Raw genomic sequence first — 20,578 nt, 5'->3', positions numbered from 1 at the left:
ATTCCATGATTCTAAATTTTATTTGGCAAGAGGTAAGGAAATTGTTTTTCTGAACTTCTCAAGAAAAAGTGATTGCCTTTTTCATAAACAAAAATTTATTGTGTGCTTTCCACTTGAGAATCACTGATACACACTTTTTAAAAATACTTTATTATATGTGATTACACATCTAGTTCTAAAATGACATCTGAATTTAAATTCTTCCTAAAAAGTTGTGTTCTAACAAACTTCTAAATATATTTTAATGATTAGTGTTTAGTATATAAAATTTAAGTGTTTTATTTCTTTCAGTATATGTATTAAATCAAGAAGCAATTTAATTGCTTTCTTTTTTGTTGTTACTCATGGAAGAACTGACCGGTAATTTAAAAGAAAACCAATTTTAATGCATTAAGACTTTTATCCTAAATTTTAGATACAAGAGATTTTTTGCAACCATAATAGGGTGATCAATTAAACAAAGAGTTTTTAAGATTCAGTGCTTACTTTCTGTTGTTCATGTTGTTATAATTATTTGATAGAGATGAAGGAGAGATCTTTGGTAAAGTTGAAAAATTGGATGCACCTGGGGACCTTTAAAAATATGAAAATGTTAAATTAGATAAAAAAATGAAGAATTTTTAAATTAATTATGAAATAAAAGAACAGATGACAATGTTTGTAGTAAATGAATGCTGAAAAATAGATTTATGAGCAAAATCACTATTATCCTTTGGTTTTCAATTTTGAATGTATTATTCCTTATAAAAACATAAAAGTACAAAAGGGAACTATTTTCAAATAAAATTTATCAAATTAAATATGCGACTTGCTATTATTCCTATAAATCTACTAACTACATATACCCATTTCCGAGTTTAGGTAACCATTTTTAACATTTTACGATCAATTTCCATCAGTCAATGGAATTAAACTATTCTACTTTGTTTCTCACTGGTACACCATGGCATTCTAATTATGTACAACACTGACACAGAGATCAGAGAACATTCCAATTTTTAAAAATTTAAGGCAATGGGGACAAAATAGATAAAATAATTCCAAGCATAATCCCAATATGCTATATTTGGCCAAAGGGAAAAGTCATAAATCTGACTATAGTATACATACCTTATTAATTCAGAATCTTTTTGAAGAAACTGCAATTACTATTGGTTTTTAATCAACAAGTATGTATTAAAGGCATGACTTATAATCAACAAATCTATAATACAGCAATAATTTAAGTACATAAAGGTCACTAAAAGTTTTATTTCCCCTTGTAATTTTGTAAACATGTTATTTTAATTTACTAGGCAACATCTAGGCAAGGGGCTGTAAAAAGCTAGGCTTCAGTCCAGTGACTCAGTCATTGTAAATTTTAAATCAGTGAGGCCCCGAATGATTCACTTTTAAATATTATGCTAACGAACAATGAAATGGTCAACAGGCAGAAAAGCATAATCTACAAAATTTGCTTTTAGGTGATTTGGATTTATCTAAATATATATATCTACAATGCATTATGCAGAACAAATGGTGGGCAATAAAATTTTTTAAATATAAAAAAATGTACATTTTAAATTTCATTTTTATTTACTTTTTTAGAGACAGGGTTTCGTTCTGTTGCCCAGGCTGGGGGGCAGTGACACAATCACAGCTCACTGCAGCCTTGACCTCCCAGGCTCAAGAGCTCCTCCATCTCAGCCTACTGAGAAACTGAAACTATAGGCGTGTGCCACCGTGCCCAGCTAATTTAAAAACAAATTTTTTTTGCAGAGACAGAGATCTCACCATATTGCCCAGCCTAGTCTCAAACTCCTGGCCTCAAGTGATCCTCTTGCCTCAGCCTCCCAAAGCACTGGGACTACAGGTGTGATTACAGGCTGCACCAGGCCTAATTTAACTTTTAAAGTTTTATACATTATAAAATCTTAGAAAAAAATGTTTTCTTTTCAACGAGGTTGTTTTAGCTGATAAATGATATATATTACTGGATTCTGTTAAGTGGGATTTCTAGTTACGTACCCTTCTGATAGAAGTCCCTTTAACAAGATTTTATTTTACTGTACTAAACTCAAAAACAAAATAGAATCAACCAAGTTTTCTCATAAAACAATGTATAGAACACACTTAAAAAGTAATTTTAATAATCCTAATATTCCCAGATAGTAGTTTTAAAATATTAATAAAAATGGAAATATCCTGGCATTTTTGCCTCCACATTAAGAATTCTAAATTAGGAAAAAACGTCTAAATTGATTAGAGACTGAGTTATAATAAATTAAGGAGGTTAATTTTTTAAAATGTAATTCATTACAACTTTTCAAAAACATATATAAATCGAATGTTCCCCTGAATCTTATAGTAAAAATTATGGAAATAAAGATCCATTGCTTCATCCAATAAAGTGACTGAGACATATATATTATATATAATATATATGCACAGTGTATACACTTTGTGTATATACACACACACTGTGTATGTCTGTGTACATATATATATGTACACACACACACTTTTTTCTTTTTCTTCTCATCTGTGGCCTTTTTTATTATTAATTAGCAACTCTGAGAACTATATTGGAAAAGAAAATGAAATACCATGGAATTAATTTGTATTTTCAGTTTTTATGGAGTTCATTTAAACACTCAAACATTTATTAAATGACTACTGTATGCCTCACCCTTGATAAGTACTGGGAATACAAAGAAAGACACAGTTCCTGACCTCAAACAGCTCACAATAGGAAAAAATGACATATAAGCAAAATGACTATAATACAATACAAGTATGATAACAAATTCTAATATAAAATTTTGTAGGTGGTGACATAAGGTGATTTAAAAATGACGTACAATTAGAGGGATAGGTGGGAAGTAAAAGAGTATTACAGTTAGGAAGAATAGCATGTAGAAATCATGTAGAAACCATGATGTGTTCAGGGAATTACCAGTAAATTCAGCTTGGCTGAAAGACTAGGAAGTACTGACAGGAACAGAGGTTACTAAGGTAGGTATGATAATAAAGGGTCTTTTATATTCTATGAAGAAATCTGGATTTTATCCAATTGTGCTGGAGCATGTGGAAAGATTTTAATAGTGTATCAACAAAATCAGATTTCTATTCTAGGAACTTTTAAGGAAGAGAAAAAGACTGAAGATTGGGAGACCAGTTAGGGAACTATAAAAACAACAAAGGTAAGAATTAATAAGGGGTGGAGTTAAGAAAGTAGAGTGGGCAAGGGCAACATATCTTGGATGTTTAGGAAGCAGTTCTCAAAGTATAGTCCATGGATCCTGGGGGTCATCAAGACCCTTTTTAAGGTGTCCATTGGTGAGGTCAAAACTATTTTCATAATAATATCAAAGTGTTATTTAAATGTTATTTGACCTCTTTCACTGAGTGGATATTGGCACTGATAGTGCAAAAGCAATGGTGGATAAAACTGCTGAAACCTTAGCATGAATCAAAGGAGTAGCACTAACCTATACTTCACATCACAGTAAAAAAGTTTCACTTGAGAATATCCACATTGAAAAAAATAAAAAATTATTGATTTTATTAAATCTTAACTCTTATATTTCTTTTTAATATTATCTGACAAACTGGGAAGTTTGCATAAAGCATATCTGCTACAAACTGAAGTATCATGGCTGTCATGAGGAAAAGCTTGTGTAGTTATTTGAACTGCATGAACTACAAGTGGAACCAGTCATTGTTTTCATGACACCACTCTTTTTTCTCTTTTACGTTAGGAAACGACTACGTGTGGTTATGTGAACTTGACTATTGATATGGTTTGATTCTGTGTCCCCACCCAAATCTCATCTTGTAGCTTTCATAATCCTCTGGTGTTGTGGGAGGGTCCTGGTGGGAAATGATTGAATCACGGGGGCGGGTCTTTCCCATGCAGTTCTTGTGATAGTGAATGAATCTCACAAGATCTGATGGTCTTAAAAATGGGAGTTTTTCTGCACAAGCTCTCTTTCTTTGCCTGCCACCATCCATGTAAGACATGACTTGCTCCTCCTTGCCTTCTGCCATGATTGTGAGGCCCCCCCACCCCAGAAACGTGGAACTGTTAAGTCCAATGAACCTCTTTCTTCTGTAAATTGCCCAGTCTCAAGTATGTCTTTATCAGCAGTATGAAAACTGACTAAAAGAGTAAATTGGTACCAGTAGAATGGGGTGTTGTTGAAAAGATACCCGAAAATGTGTAAGCAACTTTGGAACTGGGTAATAGGCAGAGAGGTTGGAACAGTTTGGAGGACTCAGAAGACAGGAAAATGTGGGAAAGTTTGGAACTTCCTGGAGACTTGGAGGACTCAGGAGACAGGACGATGTGGGAAAGTTTAAAACTTCCTAGAGACTTGCTGAATGGCTTTGACCAAAATGCTGACACTGTTATAGACAATAAAGTCCAGGCTGAGGTAGTCTCAGATGGAAATGAGGAACTTGTGAACTGGAGCAAGGGTGACTCTTGTTATGTTTTAGCAAAGAGACTGGTGGCATTTTGCCCCGACCCTAGAGATTTGTGGAACTTTGAACTTGGGAGAGATGATTTAGGGAATTTGGCAGAAGAAATCTAAGCAGCAAACCATTCAGGATGTGACTTGGGTGCTGCTAAAGGCATTCAGTTTTATAATGGGAACAGAGCATAAAAGGTTGGAGAATTTGCAGCCTGACAATGCAATAGAAATGAAAATCCCATTTTCTGAGGAGAAATTCAAGCCGGCAAAAGTACCGAGCAGCCAAATGTTAATCCCCAAGACAATGGGGAAAATGTCTCCAGGGCATGTCAGAGGTCTTCACAGCAGCCCCTCCCATCACAGGCCTGGAGGCCTAAAAGGAAAGATGGTTTTATGGGCTGGGCCCAGGACCACCCTGCTCTGTGCAGCCTAGGGACTTGGTACCCTGTGTTTCAGCTGCTCTGGCCATGGCTAAAAGGGGCCAAGGTACAGCTCAGGCTGTTGCTTCAGAGTGTGGAAGCCCCAAATCTTGGCAGCTTCCATGTGGTGTTGGGCCTGTGTGTGTACAGAAGTCAAGAATTGAGGTTTGGGAACCTCCACCTTGATTTCAGAGGATGTATGGAAACGCCTGGATAACCAGGCAGAAGTTGCTGTAGGGGCGGGGTCCTCATGGAGAACCTCTGCTAGGGCAGCCAGGAAGGGAAATATGGGTTTGGAGCCCCCATAGAGAGTCCCTACTGGGGCACCACCTACTGGAGCTGTGAGAAGAGGGCCGCTGTCCTCCAGACCCCAGAATGGTAGATCTACTGACAGCTTGCACTGTGCACCTGGAAAAGCTGCAGACAATGCTGGCCCATGAAAACAGCCAGGAGTGGGGCTACACCCTGCAAAGCCACAGGGAAAGAGCTGCTCAAGGCTGTGGGAGCCCACCTCTTGTGCCAGCGTGACCCAGATGCAAGACATGGAGTCAAAGGAGATCATTTTGGAGCTTTAAGATTTGACTGCCCTGCTGGATTTCGGACTTGCACTGGGCCTATAGACCCTTTGTTTTGGCCAATTTCTCCCATTTGGAATGGCTGTGTTGACCCAATGCCTGTATCTTCCTTGTATCTAGGAAGTAACTAACTTGTTTTTGATTTTACAGGCTCATAGGTGGAAGGGACTTGCCTTGTCTTGAATGAGACACTGGACTGTGTACTTCTGAGTTAATGCTGAAATGAGTTGAGACTTTAGGGGACTGTTGGGAGGGCATGACTGGTTTTGAAATGTGAAGAGATGAGATTTGGGAGGGGCCAGGGGCAGAATGATATGGTTTGGCTCTGTGTCCCCACCCAAATCTCATCTTGTAGCTCCTGTAATTCCCATGTGTTGTGGGATGGGCCTTGTGGGAGATGACTGAATCATGGAGGCGAGTCTTTTCCATGCTGTTCTGTGATAGTGAATGGGTCTCATGAGATCTGATGGTTTTAAAAATGGCAGTTTCGGGGAGGGGCCAAGATGGCCAAATAGAAACAGCTCTGGTCTGAGGTTCCCAGGGAGATCAATGGAGAAGGTAGGTGATTTCTGCATTTCCAACTGAGGTATCCATCTCATTGGGACTGGTTAGGTAGTGGGTACAACCCACAGAGAGTGAGCAGAAGCAGGGTGGGGCACTGCTTCACCAGGGAAGTGCAAGGAGTTGGGGGACCTCCCTCCTCCAGCCAAGGGAAGCCATGAGGGACTGTGCTACCTGGCCCGGGTACTACGCTTTTCCCATGGTTTTTGCAATCTGCAGATTAGGAGATTCCCTCCTGTGCCTACACCACCAGGGCCCTGGGTTTCAAGCACAAAACTGGGTGGCTGTTTGGGCAGGCACTGAGCTAGCTGTAGGAGTTTTTCTCGTAACTACAGTGGTGCCTGGAATGCCAGCGAGACAGAACCATTCGCTCCCCTGGAAAGGGGGCTGAAGCCAGGGAGCCAAGTGGTCTCGCTCAGCGGGTCCCACTCCCATGGATCCCAGAAAGCTAGGAACCACTGGCTGGAAATTCTCACTGCCAGCACAGGTCTGGAGTTGACCTGGGACGATCGAGCTTGTTTAGGGGAGGGGCATCTGCCATTACTGAGGCTTTAGTAGGTGGTTTCCCCTGACAGTGCTATGGAGACTGGGAGGTTTTGACTGGGCAGGATTCACCACAGTGTGGCAAAGTGGCTGTGGCCAGACTGCTTCTCTACATTCCTCCTCACTGGGCAGGGCATCTCTGAAGAAAATGCAGCAGCCCCAGCCAGGGGCTTACAGATGAAACTCTCATCTCCCTGGGACAGAGACACTGGGGGGAGGGACGGCTGTGGGTGTAGCTTCAGTGGACTTAATCTTTCCTGGCTGCTGGCTCTGAAGAGAGCAGCTGATCCTGACAAGGGGGATTCTCCCAGCACAGCGTACCAGCTCTGCTAAGGGACAGGCTGCCTCCTCAAGTGGGTCCCTGATCCCGTGTCTCCTGCCTGGGAGAGACCTCCCAACAGGGGTTGACAGACACCTCATACGGGAGAGCTCCGGCTGGCATCAGGCCAGTGCCCCTCTGGGACGAAGCTTCCAGAGGAAGGAGTAGGCAGCAATCTTTGCTGTTCTGCAGCCTCCACTGGTGATAACCAGGCGAACAGGGTCTGGAGTAGACCTCCAGCAAACTGCAGCAGACCTGCAGAAGAGGGGCCCGACTGTTAGAAGAAAAACAAACAAGCAGAAAGCAACAACATCAACAAAAAGACCCCCCAATAAAAACCCCATCCAAAGGTCATCAGCCTCAAAGACCAAAGGTAGACAAATCATGAAGATGAGGATAAACCAGCACAAAAACGCTGAAAATTCCAAAAGCCAGAATGCTTCTTCTCCAAATGATCACAACTCCTCTCCAGCAAGGGCACAAAACTGGATGGAGACTGAGACTGATGAATTAACAAAAGATTTCAGAAGGTGGGTAATAACAAACTCCTCTGAGCTAAAGCAGCATGTTCTAACCCAATGCAAGGAAGCTAAGAACCTTGATAAAAGGTTACAGGAACTGCTAACTACAATAACCAGTTTAGCGAGGAACATAAATGGCCTGATGGAACTGAAAAACATAGCACGAGAAATCAGAGAAGCATACAGAAGTATCAATAGCTCAATCGATCAAGCGGAAGAAAGGATACCACAGATTGAAGATCACCTTGCTGAAATAAGGTGTGAAGACAAGATTAGAGAAAAAAGAATGAAAAGGAATGAACAAAGCCTCCAAGAAATATGGGACTATGTGAAAAGACCAAACCTACAATTGATTAGTGTAACTGAAAGTGACGGGGAGAATGGAACCAAGTTGGAAAACACACTTCAGAGAGACGTGAACTCTCAGGAGAACTTCCTCAACCTAGTTCAGGAGAACCTCCCCAACCTTGTAAGACAGGCCAACATTCCCATTCAGGAAATACACAGACCACCACTAAGATACTCCATGAGAAGATCAACCCCAAGACACATAATCGTCAGATTCTCCAAGGTTGAAATGAAGGAAACAACGTTAAGGGCAGCCAGAGAGAAAGGTCAGGTCACCTACAAAGGGAAGCCCATCAGACTAACAGCAGATCTCTCTGCAGAAACCCTACAAGCCAGAAGAGAGTGGGGGCCAATATTCAACATTCTTAAAGAAAGGATTTTTCAACCCAGAGTTTCATATCCAGGCAAACAAAGCTTCAGAAGCAAAGGAGAAATAAAATCCTTTCCAGACAAGCAAATGCAGAGGGATTTTGTCACCACCAGGTAGCCCTTACAAGAATTCCTGAAGGAAGCACTAAATATGGAAAGGAAAAACTGGTACCAGCCACTGCAAAAACACACCAAAATATAATGACCAATGACACTATGAAGAAACTGCATCAACTAATGTGCAAAAAAACCAGCTAGCATCATGATGACTGGATCAAATTCACACATAACAATATTTAGCCTTAAATATAAATGGGCTAAATGCCCCAATTAAAAGACATAGACTGGCAAATTGGATGAAGAGTCAAGACCCATTGGTGTGCTTTATTCAGGACACCCATCTCACATGCAAAGACATACATAGGCTCAAAATAAAGGGTTGGAGGAGTACTTACCAAGCAAATGGAAAGGAAAAAAAAAAAGCAGGGGTTGAAATACTAGTCTCTGATAAAACAGACATAAAACCAACAAAGATCAAAAAAGACAAAGAAGGGCATTACATAACGGTAAAGGGATCAATGCCACAAGAAGAGCTAACTATCCTAAATATATGTGGACCCAATATAGGAGCACCCAGATTCATAAAACAAGTTCTTAGAGACCTAGAAAGAGACTCAGACTCCCATGCAATAATAGTGGGACTCTTTAACACCCTACTGTCAATACTAGACAGATCAATGAGATAGAAAATTAACAAGGATATTCAGGACTTGAACTCAGCTCTGGATCAAGTGGACCTCACAGACATCTACAAACTCTTCACCACTAATCAACAGAATATACATTCTTCTCAGCACCGCATGGCACTTATTCTAAAATCAATCACATAAATGGAAGTAAAACACTCCTCAGCAAATGCAAAAGAACAGAAATCCTAACAGTCTCTCAGACCACAGTGCAATCAAGTAAGAACTCAGGATAAGAAACTCACCCAAAATGGCACAACTACATGGAAATTGAAGAACCTGCTCCTGAATGACTCCTGAGTAAGTAACAAAATGAAGGCAGAAATAAAGAAGTTCTTTGAAACCAATGAGAACAAAGAGACAATGTACCAGAGATTCTGCTAAAGCAGTGTGTAGAGGGAAATTTATAGCACTAAATGCCCATATCAGAAAGCTGGAAAGATATGAAATTGAAACCCTAATATCACAATTAAAAGAACTAAAGAAGGAAGAGCAAACAAATTCAAAAGCTAGCAGAAGACAAGAAACAACTAAGATCAGAGCAGAACTGAAGGAGATAGAGACAGGAAGAACCCTTCAAAAAATAAAAATAAACGAATCCAGGAGCTGGTTTTTTGGAAAAAAATAAAATAGATAGACTGCTAGCTAGACTAATGAAGAATAAAGAGAGAAGAATCAAATAGACACAATAAAAATGATAAAGGGGATATCACCACTGATCCCACAGAAATAAAAACTACCATCAGAGAGTACTATAAACACCTCTATGCAAATAAACTAGAAAATCTAGAAGAAACGGATAAATTCCTGGACACATACACCCTCCCCAGACTAAACCAGGAAGAAGTCGAATCCCTGAATAGACCAATAACAAGTTCTGAAATTGAGGCAGTAATCAATAGCCTACCAACCACAAAAGGCCCAGGACCAGACTGATTCACAGCCAAATTGTACCAGAGGTACAAAGAGGAGCTGGTACCATTCCTTCTGAAAATATTCCAAACAATTGAAAAAGAGGGACTCCTCTCTAACTCATTTTATGGGGCCAGCATCATCCTGATACCAAAAGCTGGCAGAGACACAACAAAAAAAGAAAATTTCAGGCCAATATCCCTGATGCACATTGATGCAAAAATCCTTAATAAAATATTGGTCAACCGAATCCAGCAGCACATCAAAAAGCTTATCCACCATGATCAAGTGAGCTTCATCCCTGGGATGCAAAGCTGGTTCAACATATGCAAATCAATAAAAGTAATCCATCACATAAACAGAACCAATGACAAAAACCACATAAGTAACTCAATAGATGCACAAAAGGCCTTCAATAAAATTCAACATCCCTTCATGTTAAAAACTCTCAATAAACTATTGATGAAACATATCTCAAAATAATAAGAGCTATTTATGACAGACCCATAGCCAATATCATATTGAATGGGCAAAAGCTGGAAGCACTCCCTCTGAAAACCAGCACAAGACAAGGATGCCCTCTCACCACTCCTATTCAACAAAGTACTGGAAGTTCTGGCCAGGGCAACTAGGCAAGAGAAAGAAATAAAGAGTATTTAAATAGGAAGAGAGGAAGTCAAATGGTCTCTGTTTGCAGATGACATGATTGTATATTTAGAAAAGCCCATTGTCTCAGTCCAAAATCTCCTTAACCTGATAAGCAACTTCAGCAAAATCTCAGGATACAAAATCAACGTGCAAAAATCACAAGCATTCCTATACACCGAAAATAGACAAGCAGAGAGCCAAATCATGAGTGAACTCCCATTCATAACTGCTACAAAGGGAATAAAATACCTACGAATACCACCTACAATGGACGTGAAGGACCTCTTCAAGGAGAACTACTGTGAAAATGGCCACATTGCCCAAAGTAATTTATAGATTCAATGCTATCCCCATTGAATTGACATTGACATTCTTCACAGAATTAGAAAAAACTACTTTAAATTTCATGTGAAACAAAAAATGAGCCTGTATAGCCAAGACAGTCCTAAGCAAAAATAACAAAGCTGGAGGCATCACACTACCTGACTTCAAACTATACTACAAGGCTATAGTAACCAAAACAGCATGGTACTGGTACCAAAAAAGATATATAGACCAATGCAACAGAACAGAGACCCCAGAAATAACTCCACACATCTACAACCATGTGATCTTACACAAACCTGACAAATACAAGCAATAGGGAAATGATTCCCTATTTAATAAACAGTGCTGGGAAAACTGGCTAGCCATATGCAGAAAACAGAAACTGGACCCCTTCCTTATACCTTATAAAAAATTAAGATAGATTAAAGACTTAAATGTAAAACCCAAAACCATAAAAACCTAGAAGAAAACCTAGGCAATACCATTCAGGACACAGTCATGGGCAATGATTTCATGACTAAAACACCAAAAGCAATCACAACAAAAGCCAAAATTGACAAATGGGATCTAATCAAACTAAAGAGCTTCTACACAGGAAAAGAAACTATCATCAGAGTGAACAGGCAACCTACAGAATGGGAGAAAATTTCTGCAATCTATCCATCTGACAAAGGGCTATTATCCAGAATCTACAAGGAACATAAACAAATTTACATGAGAAAGAAAAATCCCATCAAAAAGTGGGCAAAGGATATGAACAGACAATTCACAAAAGAAGACATTTATGCAGCCAAAAACATATGAAAAAAAGCTCTTCATCACTGGTCATTAGACAAATGCAAATCACACCACGATGAGATACCATCTCACACCAGTCAGAATAGTGATTATTAAAAAGTCAGGAAACAAAAGATGCTGGAGAAGATGTGGAGAAACAGGAATGCTTTTACACTACTGGTGGGACCGTAAATTAGTTCAACCATTGTGGAAGACAGTGTGGCGATTCCTCAAGGATCTAGAACCAGAAATACCATTTGCCCCAGCAATCCCATTACTAGGTATATACCCAAAGGATTATAAACCATTCTACTATAAAGACACATGCACATGTATGTTTATTGCAGCACTATTTACAACAGCAAAGAATTGGAACCAACCCAAATCTCCATCCTGATAGACTGGATAAAGAAAATGTGGCACATATACACCATGGAATACTATGCAGCCATAAAAAAGAATGAGTTCATGTCCTTTGCAGGGACATGGGTGAAGCTGGAAACCATCATTCTCAGCAAACTAACACAGGAACAGAAAATCAAACACCACATGTTCTCACTCATAAGTGGGAGTTGAACAATGAGAACACATGGACACAGGGAGGGGGAACAACACACACCAGGGCCTGTTGGGGGGTGGGGGCAAGGGGAGGGAGAGCATTAGGACAAATACCTAATGCATGTGGGGCTTAAAACCTAGATGATGGGTTGATAGGTGCAGCAAACTACCACGGCACATGCATAGCTATGTAACAAACCTGCACATTCTGCACGTGTATCCCAGAACTTAAAATAAAATAAAATTTAAAAAAGACAAAAAACAAAACAAAACAAAACGGGAGTTTCTCTGCACAAGCTCTGAGACGTGACTTGCTCCTCCTTGCCTTCCACCATGATTGTGAGGCCTCGCTAGCCATGTGGAACTGTAAATCCAATAAACCTCTTTCTTTTGTAAATTGCCCCGTCTCCTATATGTCTTTATCAGCAGCATGAAAATGGACTAATACAGCTATCAAGCAGAGGTTTTCTGAAAAATGAATGAAGGAAGGCTGTGTCTTTAAGGAAAACAATGTATTTGCAGCCAATGATAAAATTTGGGCTTTCGATGAAGAATTAGAATCTTGGAAAACTTGACTCTGACACCACAAAGTTGACAGCTTCCCAATACTTAGGCGTTTCTCATAAGATAGGTGATGTTTTAAAAAATGTGATTTGAAAAAAATTGTAGAATAAAATGTGTCAACATTTGGAAGATCTGCATAACTCCGTGAATATTTCCCAAATGACCAAAATGCATGAAATTTACATTTGAAAGATTTTAATACTATAAAAGGTTCATTGATATGGTTTCAGATTCTATCATTTAACTTTAAGACTTAAACCACCACTAGTCAAGTTTTGATGTAGTATTAATGATCTGAAAATACTCCTTTTCAACTATGTATCTGTGTGAGGCTGATTTTGCTTCATGTACTTCAACCCAAACATTGTATTACAATAAATTAAATGCAGAAGAATATACAAGAATTTAGCTGTCCTCTATTCAGTCAGATAGTAAAGAAATTTCAAAAATAAAAAACAATGCAACTTTTTGGTAATTTTATTGTTTTGGAATATAGTTATTTTCATAAAAGTGTTATTCATGTCAAAATACAATGGTTTTGTACTGTTATTTTAAAATACCTTAAAATCTTATTTCAATTTCGAATATGACAAATATTAACAGCTATAACCCATATAACAGAAGTTCTTTGGATCTTTAATAATTTTCAAGAATGTAAAGGGGTACTGTTTGAAAACTTCAGGTGAGGAGGCAGAATCTGCAAGACTTGCTGACTAACTAGACAAGAGAAGAAAGGCTGGAGGAGGAACTCAGGATGGCTCTTGGATGGTACTTGAAATAGGCAATACAGGAAATGAAGACAGTTTAGGTTGAGGGGATGGGAGAAGGAGGGGTAAAAAGATTTGGTTTAATTTGAGGTGGTGAGTCCTACATGAAATTTATGAAAAATCTGGAATTCAGAAAAGTGGTCTAGTCTAGAAATACAGAATGGCATATTTTGTGTCAGTTTGAGCTGGGGGAGAGGATTAGCATAGAATCACCTAATTTTGAACACCTACTATGGTATGATAAAAGAGGTCTTCTGACAGAAATTTAGTGAATGTCAATGCATTTAAGGTCTGAGTAGAGCTGCTGCAAACAGTTAGTGAAGCTGCACTGCACCGTGCCAAGGAGGGCCTATCACATAGACTACATATGATATGAATGATGCCTCCTAGAGCTGTGCACAATTTGCAAAACTAAATGTGGCAACCCTAAAGAGGAACCGAGCTAGACAGACAAAGGACTGGTCAGAGAGGCAAAGTCCTTGGCATAAAAGGTCGTATCATGCATTCAAATTCAGAGAATTTCTTTAGAAGATGGTTATCAAAAAGAAATACTAAAGACAGGTCAAATAAACTAGGTTAAAAGAAAGACAAATAAGAACTTTGTTAAATCCTGAATGGGTGGCAAGCAACATTAAGTATAGCCTTTTAAATGTAGGTGGCTGTCAAAGAAAAAAAAGCTTAAGGATGGTAAATGGAGGAAGTATATGGTTTTTGGTTTTAAAGATGAAGATGTGTTTATATTCATAGGCTGAGGGGGAAGATGACATTAGAAAAGAAATAAAAATAATAAACTGGTGTTTACCATATGTGTGGCACTATGCTAGGCATTTATATATGTAGGAGAGAGGAGATAATAAAAGAAAAAGCAAGGACCAGGAAGCATTGAGATAAATACTACAGGTAGAGTAGAGGGACTGTCCTTAAATAGTAAGGTGATCAGAGAGCTAAGGATGGATGTGGTCGACAGGTAAAGTACAACAATTTTACAATACTGTTGCAGACATTACTGTTGAGTGATAACGCATCATTTATCTCTTCTGATTCCGACTTCTGACTCAGATTACACATGGTCCAATCTAGCTAACATTTGTGGAGTTAATATCAGGTTATTTAGGGGTTGACTGGTCAGTCTGTGGATGATAACCAGAGCCCTTTAGCTCTCTTTCTGTGACGTATGTGGAAATTAAACTGTTCACTAGCAACTCTGCTCTAGTGGCTTTCTAGAAAAAGGAGAAAAAAAAGTGCTAAGAATATCATACATTAACTAGACATCAAACCACTTACCTAGAATTAAACTAATTTTGGCCAGTTTGGGCTAGGTGTAACATATCGTGCCCTCAGACAGAAAAAGGTAAGACTTCCATTTAGCTGAAGTGGTTTCATGAAGACAGAAAATTCAGCCTTACTCCTGACAAATGGAAGTTTGTAGTATCTGAATTTCCCTATGCCCAATATGTTTCAACTAAAAACATGCAATTCAAGGCTAAGTTGAGCCTCTTACTTCAATAGAAAAACATAACTTGCTTTTAGTAAGTCAACTAAACATTTAACACTCATGGAAATCTACCACCATATTAAGCAACCAAAATACAGAGAAGTTAAGTCTGAACGTTGAGACAGCAAAACAGTTATTTAAAGATTTTTATATTTTCAAACCCAACATTGTAAAACAACGTAACTTCATACAACCTAACATCATAAAACAAAAATTAGCTTAGTAACTAAAACAAGACCAACATTACACTCTCCATTTCTAATCAACATTCTAAGACAAGTTCTGAAAGAAAAAGAAAATTCTAAATCTCCTAAAAAATTAAACACTTTTACTGTTGTAAGATACAGATTAGTTCAGTTCAACAGCATTTACTGTATGCTTCCTATATGCCAGGTAGGGTGTTAGGTACTTAAAGATACACAAAAGAGAGTTTAAGTAGATTTATACTATATATAAATTGTTTTTCATAGCTCTATTTTTCCTTATTTTGACTGCTTACTTTTACATATAATATTTGATAACACAAAATGTTCCATTTTAAATAAATGAAATTACAATAATTTTTTCAGCCAATTATGAATCTAAGCACCAAAACTTGCAACCCATTTTTAAACTTTATTACAGAAATTTTGAAACATACATTAACCCTCATGTACCTAATATCAGAAACTTAGCTTTAAAAATAACATTCTAGTGCTCGCTTCAGCAGCACATATACCAAAATTGGAACGATACAGAGAAGATTAGTATGGCCACTACAAAAGGATGGTATTCAAAAATTAACATTCTACCATTCTTACTTTTTCTATAATCCCTTCAGCTTCCCTCCGACCCCCTCTTTTGCTGGAGTAGTTTGAAGCAAATTCTAGACACCCATAATTTCACCTGAAAACACAACAGTATGTATGTATCCCTAAAAAATAAGGGATTTTTTGTTTTAATCAGCACAAGTTTTCCTGAGCCTTCATGATTATTCTATTTGATGCCAACTGTCCTTCTTCATTACCTCAGGATGCTCTTTAAGGTTTTGGTATGTTGTCTCTACATTTTTGGTTAGATAATTTATATATGCTTATATTCCCATTTATAGGAATATGACTCCATACCTGCAGTTCTCAGTACTCCATACTGCAGTTCCCTTTAATTGTAACCTAAGCATTTTTGTTTGGCTATTTCATTACCTCCAACTTTAAAGTCTCAGAAAACACCATTCTACATCTGTTTCTTAATGAGAATAACAACATAAAAAAAGGCATAAAAGGAAATTTAAGGATTCAAAATGTCTTTTAAAAAGATAACAGCTGGGCATGGTGGCTCACACTTGTAATCCCAACACTTTGGGAGGCTGAAGTGGGCAGACTGCTTGAGCCCAGGAGACCAGCCTGGGCAACATGGTGAAACCCCATCTTTATAAAAACAAAACAAAACAAACAAACAAAAGAACAAAAAAACCCAAAAATTAGCCAGGTGTGGTGGTGTGCCTGTAGTCCCAGCTACTTGGGAGGCTGAGGTGGGAGGATCACCTGAGCCTGGGAATTTGAGGCTACAGTGAGCTGTGACTGCTCCACTGCATTCCAGCCTGGGTAATGAGAGTGAGGTCCTGTCTTAAAACAACAACAACAACAAATTATAGATTTTGGAGTATCACTCTAGATTTATGGTTCACAGATTGCATTTCAAATTGAAGATTGGTGTTACTGAAATGTATGAACTGGCTGAATGACAAGGAATAAAGAATGGCTACAGCCAACATGTATTTTAATAATTTTTAACCAAATGAGTCTATGCATCATTTCCAAATCCATTTAGCTGCTTCGCAGTTATAAATGCAAACAGGGATTGAATACTCTCTAAAAATTTCTAAAGACGTTTAAGATAGTGTAAAAAAAATAAAAACAGAATATTGCAGAATCACCTAAGTGCTTACTATCTGTCTCAACCAAAAAAGTAGTATGCAATGGTTTTATTTATAAAGTTCTTCCTCTCTCCAAGCAGAGCACTCAAGAAGACAGTGCTGTGAAAATACTATTGTGTCATGAAATTAAGTTTATAGTGTTTCAGTCATCAATTTGGAATTCCCTTAATCAGAACACCACAAATGGCAGAGGGACAGTGTATGAGTAAGAGCTATTAGCATGGTTTTCCATTTGATTTTTCTTTCTGCCACTCATGTCCTATTCTGGACGATAGTACATTTTTCTCTGGATGTTTTCCAGTCCAAGAAAAATCACCTCTTCAAAATCATCAATGACTCTTATTTTTTTTCCACCCAATACTTAAGCACATATCTTTTGACAATACTTTTTGACTAATCAATGAAAATGAATAAATTTAAATCAAATTTTCTCTTTAGGAACCCCCAGGTTTCTATAATGACTCCACTGTAAAATCATTTTTTAGAAATCCAAGATTTTACTAGCTACACGTCTGCAATAGAACAACTAGATTATCCACCCAATGCTAACATCCTTAAAAAAAAAGAAATGAAATTTTACAGAATTTTTAAAACTAGGGGGGAAAACTTTTTCTAAGGTATCATTAGAAAAGATCATGTTTTTAAGAGGCTGTTTAAGAAATCAAACTTAAAAACTAGATAAGAAATGCAAATCCTGATAAAACAAGTAGTGTTAAAAATGCAGCATGAACATAAAAATAAAAATTTCAAATTCTTTGTTGATATCTAGTAGAAAAATTCAGTTAGAAAACTTTTTTTTTTTTTTTCTTTTTGAGACAGAGTCTTGCTCTGCTACCCAAAGTGGAGTGCACTGGCGCGATCTCAGCTCACTGCAACCTTCACCTTTAGCATTCAAGTGATTCTCCGGCCTCAGCCTCCCGAGTAGCTGGGACTACAGGCGCCGCCACCACCCCTGGCTAATTTTTGTATTTTTAGTGGAGACGGGGTTTCACCATGTTGGCCAGGCTGGTCTCAAACTCCTGGCCTCAAGTGATCCGTTCACCTTGGCCTCCCAAAGTGCTGGGATCATAGGAGTGAGCCACTGTGCTTGAACAGAAGACTTTTGAGTGAGTATTTTTTGGGTAGGTTCTTAGATCTCTAATACAGACTTTGAGTTGTTTTAGGTGCTGATTAAAAGCATATACACATATTTTTTTTGTAACTAAATGACTACATGTTTTAAATTAAATTTTACCCTTAACATTTTTTGAATATTTAGCATTTCTTCTCAAGGAGCCCAAAAATTTATGCTTCAGCTGAAGACACAGTTTCAAAACTAATCAAAATGGGGCCAATACAATAGGACATCAGAGCACTAAGTAGGTTCCTCTATTTTCAGCAGTATAGAACAGACAAAATACTAACATGTGGTTTCACGTGTGCCTACTTGTGGTAATATTCTTCTATTTTCTTGTTCATATGAAGTACTTAAAATGCAAATTCCTTGGCTAACTATATTTATATTTTGCTGGTCTGGGGTGGGAACCCTGGATGCCACTATGTGGTTCACCTAGTAAATGTCAATAAACATCACCTACAAAATTTCTGAGTGTCATCCTTAGACCAACAGCATTGGTGTGACCTGCAAGCTTATTAGAAATGAGCCACACCCAGACATAATAAGAAATTCTGAGGATGGGGCCCAGGAAACTGTTTTAATAAATTCTACCAGTGATTCTTCTTTCTATCACCATATTACAGCTTTAATTATCTTTCTTTGGTGTTTGACACCCTAGCTAGGAACTGGTTATGTGCTATGCAACATTATGGACAAATTCCAGGTTAGTGATATATATCAGAACTAGCATTTTCATGCCATCTTGAAGGCCAGGGGTTGTCTTCTGGCAAATGTGAGAATTTTGAGGAGTATAAACTGTTCTGTATCTTAATATCTTGAAGTCCTTCCTAAGGACTTAAAATTACGTGTTCTGTGCTGGAGTTAAATTTGCCTAAGCTAACATCATGTGCTTATAACATGCTTTTCTGTTTTTTTTTTTTTTTTTCCTTTTTGGAGACAGAGTCTCACTCTTTTGCACAGGCTAGAGTGCAGTTGTGTGATCACAGCTCTTTGCAGCCTTGAACTCCTGGGCTCATGCAATCTTCCCACCCCAGCTTCTGGAGTAGCTGAGACTACAGGTGCATGCCACCATAACTGGCTAATTTTTGTTTTTTTTTTTTTGTAGAGACGGGGTCTTGTTATGTTGCACAGAGTCGTCTTGAACTCCTGGGCTCAAGTGATACTCCTATTCTGGCCTCCCAAAATGCTAGGATTACAGGTGTGAGCCACCTTGCTCAGCCTAAAATGTGCTTTTCAATGAACACAGAGGCATTCTATTTTTTTTTTTTTTTTTGAGATGGAGTCTCACTCTATCACCCAGGCTGGGGTGTAGTGGTGTGATCTTGGCTCACTGCAACCTCTGCCTCCTGGGTTCAAGCAATTCTCCTTGCCTCAGCCTCCTGAATAGCTGGGGTTACAGGCGCCTGTTACCATGCCTAATTTTTGTATTTTTAGTAGAGATGGGGTTTCACCATGTTGATCAGGCTGGTTTTGAAATCCTGACCTCAAATGATCTGCCTGCCTCGGCCTCCCAAAGTGCTAGGATTACAGGCATGAGCCACTGTGCCCAGCCCCATTTGTTTTTTTTTCAAGCCAGGCTTCATCCAGAAAAAAGAATCTGTATCATCCTTGCTTCATCTATAGAAATATAATATAAATAAATTTAGCAAGTGATATTTCCTCAAACTTGTTTCCTCTTTCCTCCTATTATCTCTACTCCGATTTCCTTCTACTGTGCTTTTTCTATTTTCTTAAATATTTATGAATCTCATTGTTTCTTTCTCTCAACTGTATGTTTTAAAGTTTCATCTAGTTTTAAAGATCTCACCATTGTTACTCCCATTTCATTTTTCTTATTTGCTCTATTTACCAGTGATGGATATTTAGCTAGGCTATCTCCAAATCCCCACTACTACAAACTATGCAGCTACAAAGATTATATCCTCAAAGATCTGTTTAAAAATTCCTCTGAGTGCTGGGTCAGAGGGATTAAACACTTCTGATTTAATTATTGACTGGTTTACAGAATGACAATATTAGTTTACACTCACATCGTAAGTACACAGATATCTACACCATACCCAATACTTGGCATCAGAAAACTTTTAAATATTTGTCATTTTGATGGGTGAAAAATTGTATCTCATTTACTTTCATTTTTTTCTGATTACTAGTGAGTTTGTCTATCTTCTCATCTACCTGTTAGCACTTAGCTACCCTTTATTTAAATTGTCTGTTAGTATCTTTTACCTATTTTTTTAAAAGCTATTGTTCTTTGTTTCTGTTAACTTTTAGGAGTTCTTAATATATTACAGGTATTATTCCCTTTAGGTTTTAAAAGTTCCAAAGCTGACATCTGACTTTTAACTCTGTGTATAGTTCTTTTAACAGAAATCTTTAATTCTGATGTAATCAGATCTACTAAATTTGAACATTATGTTCTATGATCCCTATGATGTAGTTATTCTCCAAAATTTCTACTATTCACATTTATTTATTTATTTATTTTCAGATAGAGTCTCACTGTGTCACCGAGGCTGGAGTGCAGTGGCACGATCTTGGCTCACGGAAACCTCCGCCTCCTGGGTTCAAGTGATTCTCCTGCCTCAGCCTCCCGAGTAGCTGGGACTACAGGTGTCCACCACCATACCAGCTAATTTTTGT

The 20,578-nt window shown here is 38.1% G+C and overlaps 1 protein-coding gene and 1 pseudogene across 14 annotated transcripts in view, besides 1 other annotated feature; one reads left to right on the top strand and one right to left on the bottom strand.

Moving 5' to 3' along the window:
- USP15 (ubiquitin specific peptidase 15) overlaps positions 1-20,578 on the bottom strand; it is a 155,986-nt gene that overhangs the window by 66,596 nt on the left and 68,812 nt on the right. For 6 of the 14 annotated variants that reach the window (NR_147078.2, NR_147079.2, NM_001351165.2 and 3 more), the window contains one exon: positions 487-573. The exons of 7 other annotated variants lie outside the window; for them this stretch is intronic. Coding sequence is in view for 3 of the 7 variants with exons in the window: in NM_001351159.2 (NP_001338088.1) it covers positions 487-573 (87 nt within the window). In the remaining 4 variants the exon portion in view is untranslated. Of the gene's footprint in view, positions 1-486; positions 574-13,102; positions 14,629-20,578 lie in introns of those variants that run through there. One more of the 14 variants, NM_001252079.2, reaches the window with a different exon arrangement.
- Positions 4,400-4,600: a silencer, noted in NCBI's record as "peak1750 fragment used in MPRA reporter construct". NCBI's record gives its function as "represses an SCP1 promoter by STARR-seq MPRAs in K562 erythroleukemia cells {active_cell/tissue: K562}" and the evidence as "EXISTENCE:reporter gene assay evidence [ECO:0000049][PMID:32103011]".
- RNU6-595P (RNA, U6 small nuclear 595, pseudogene) lies at positions 15,597-15,680 on the top strand (annotated as a pseudogene).

This window comes from Homo sapiens, chromosome 12 (assembly GCF_000001405.40).
Source record: "Homo sapiens chromosome 12, GRCh38.p14 Primary Assembly".
NCBI classification, from domain to species: Eukaryota; Metazoa; Chordata; class Mammalia; order Primates; family Hominidae; genus Homo; species Homo sapiens.
Note: the sequence above shows the minus strand (reverse complement) of the source record. Positions and strands in the feature narration are given on the sequence as shown.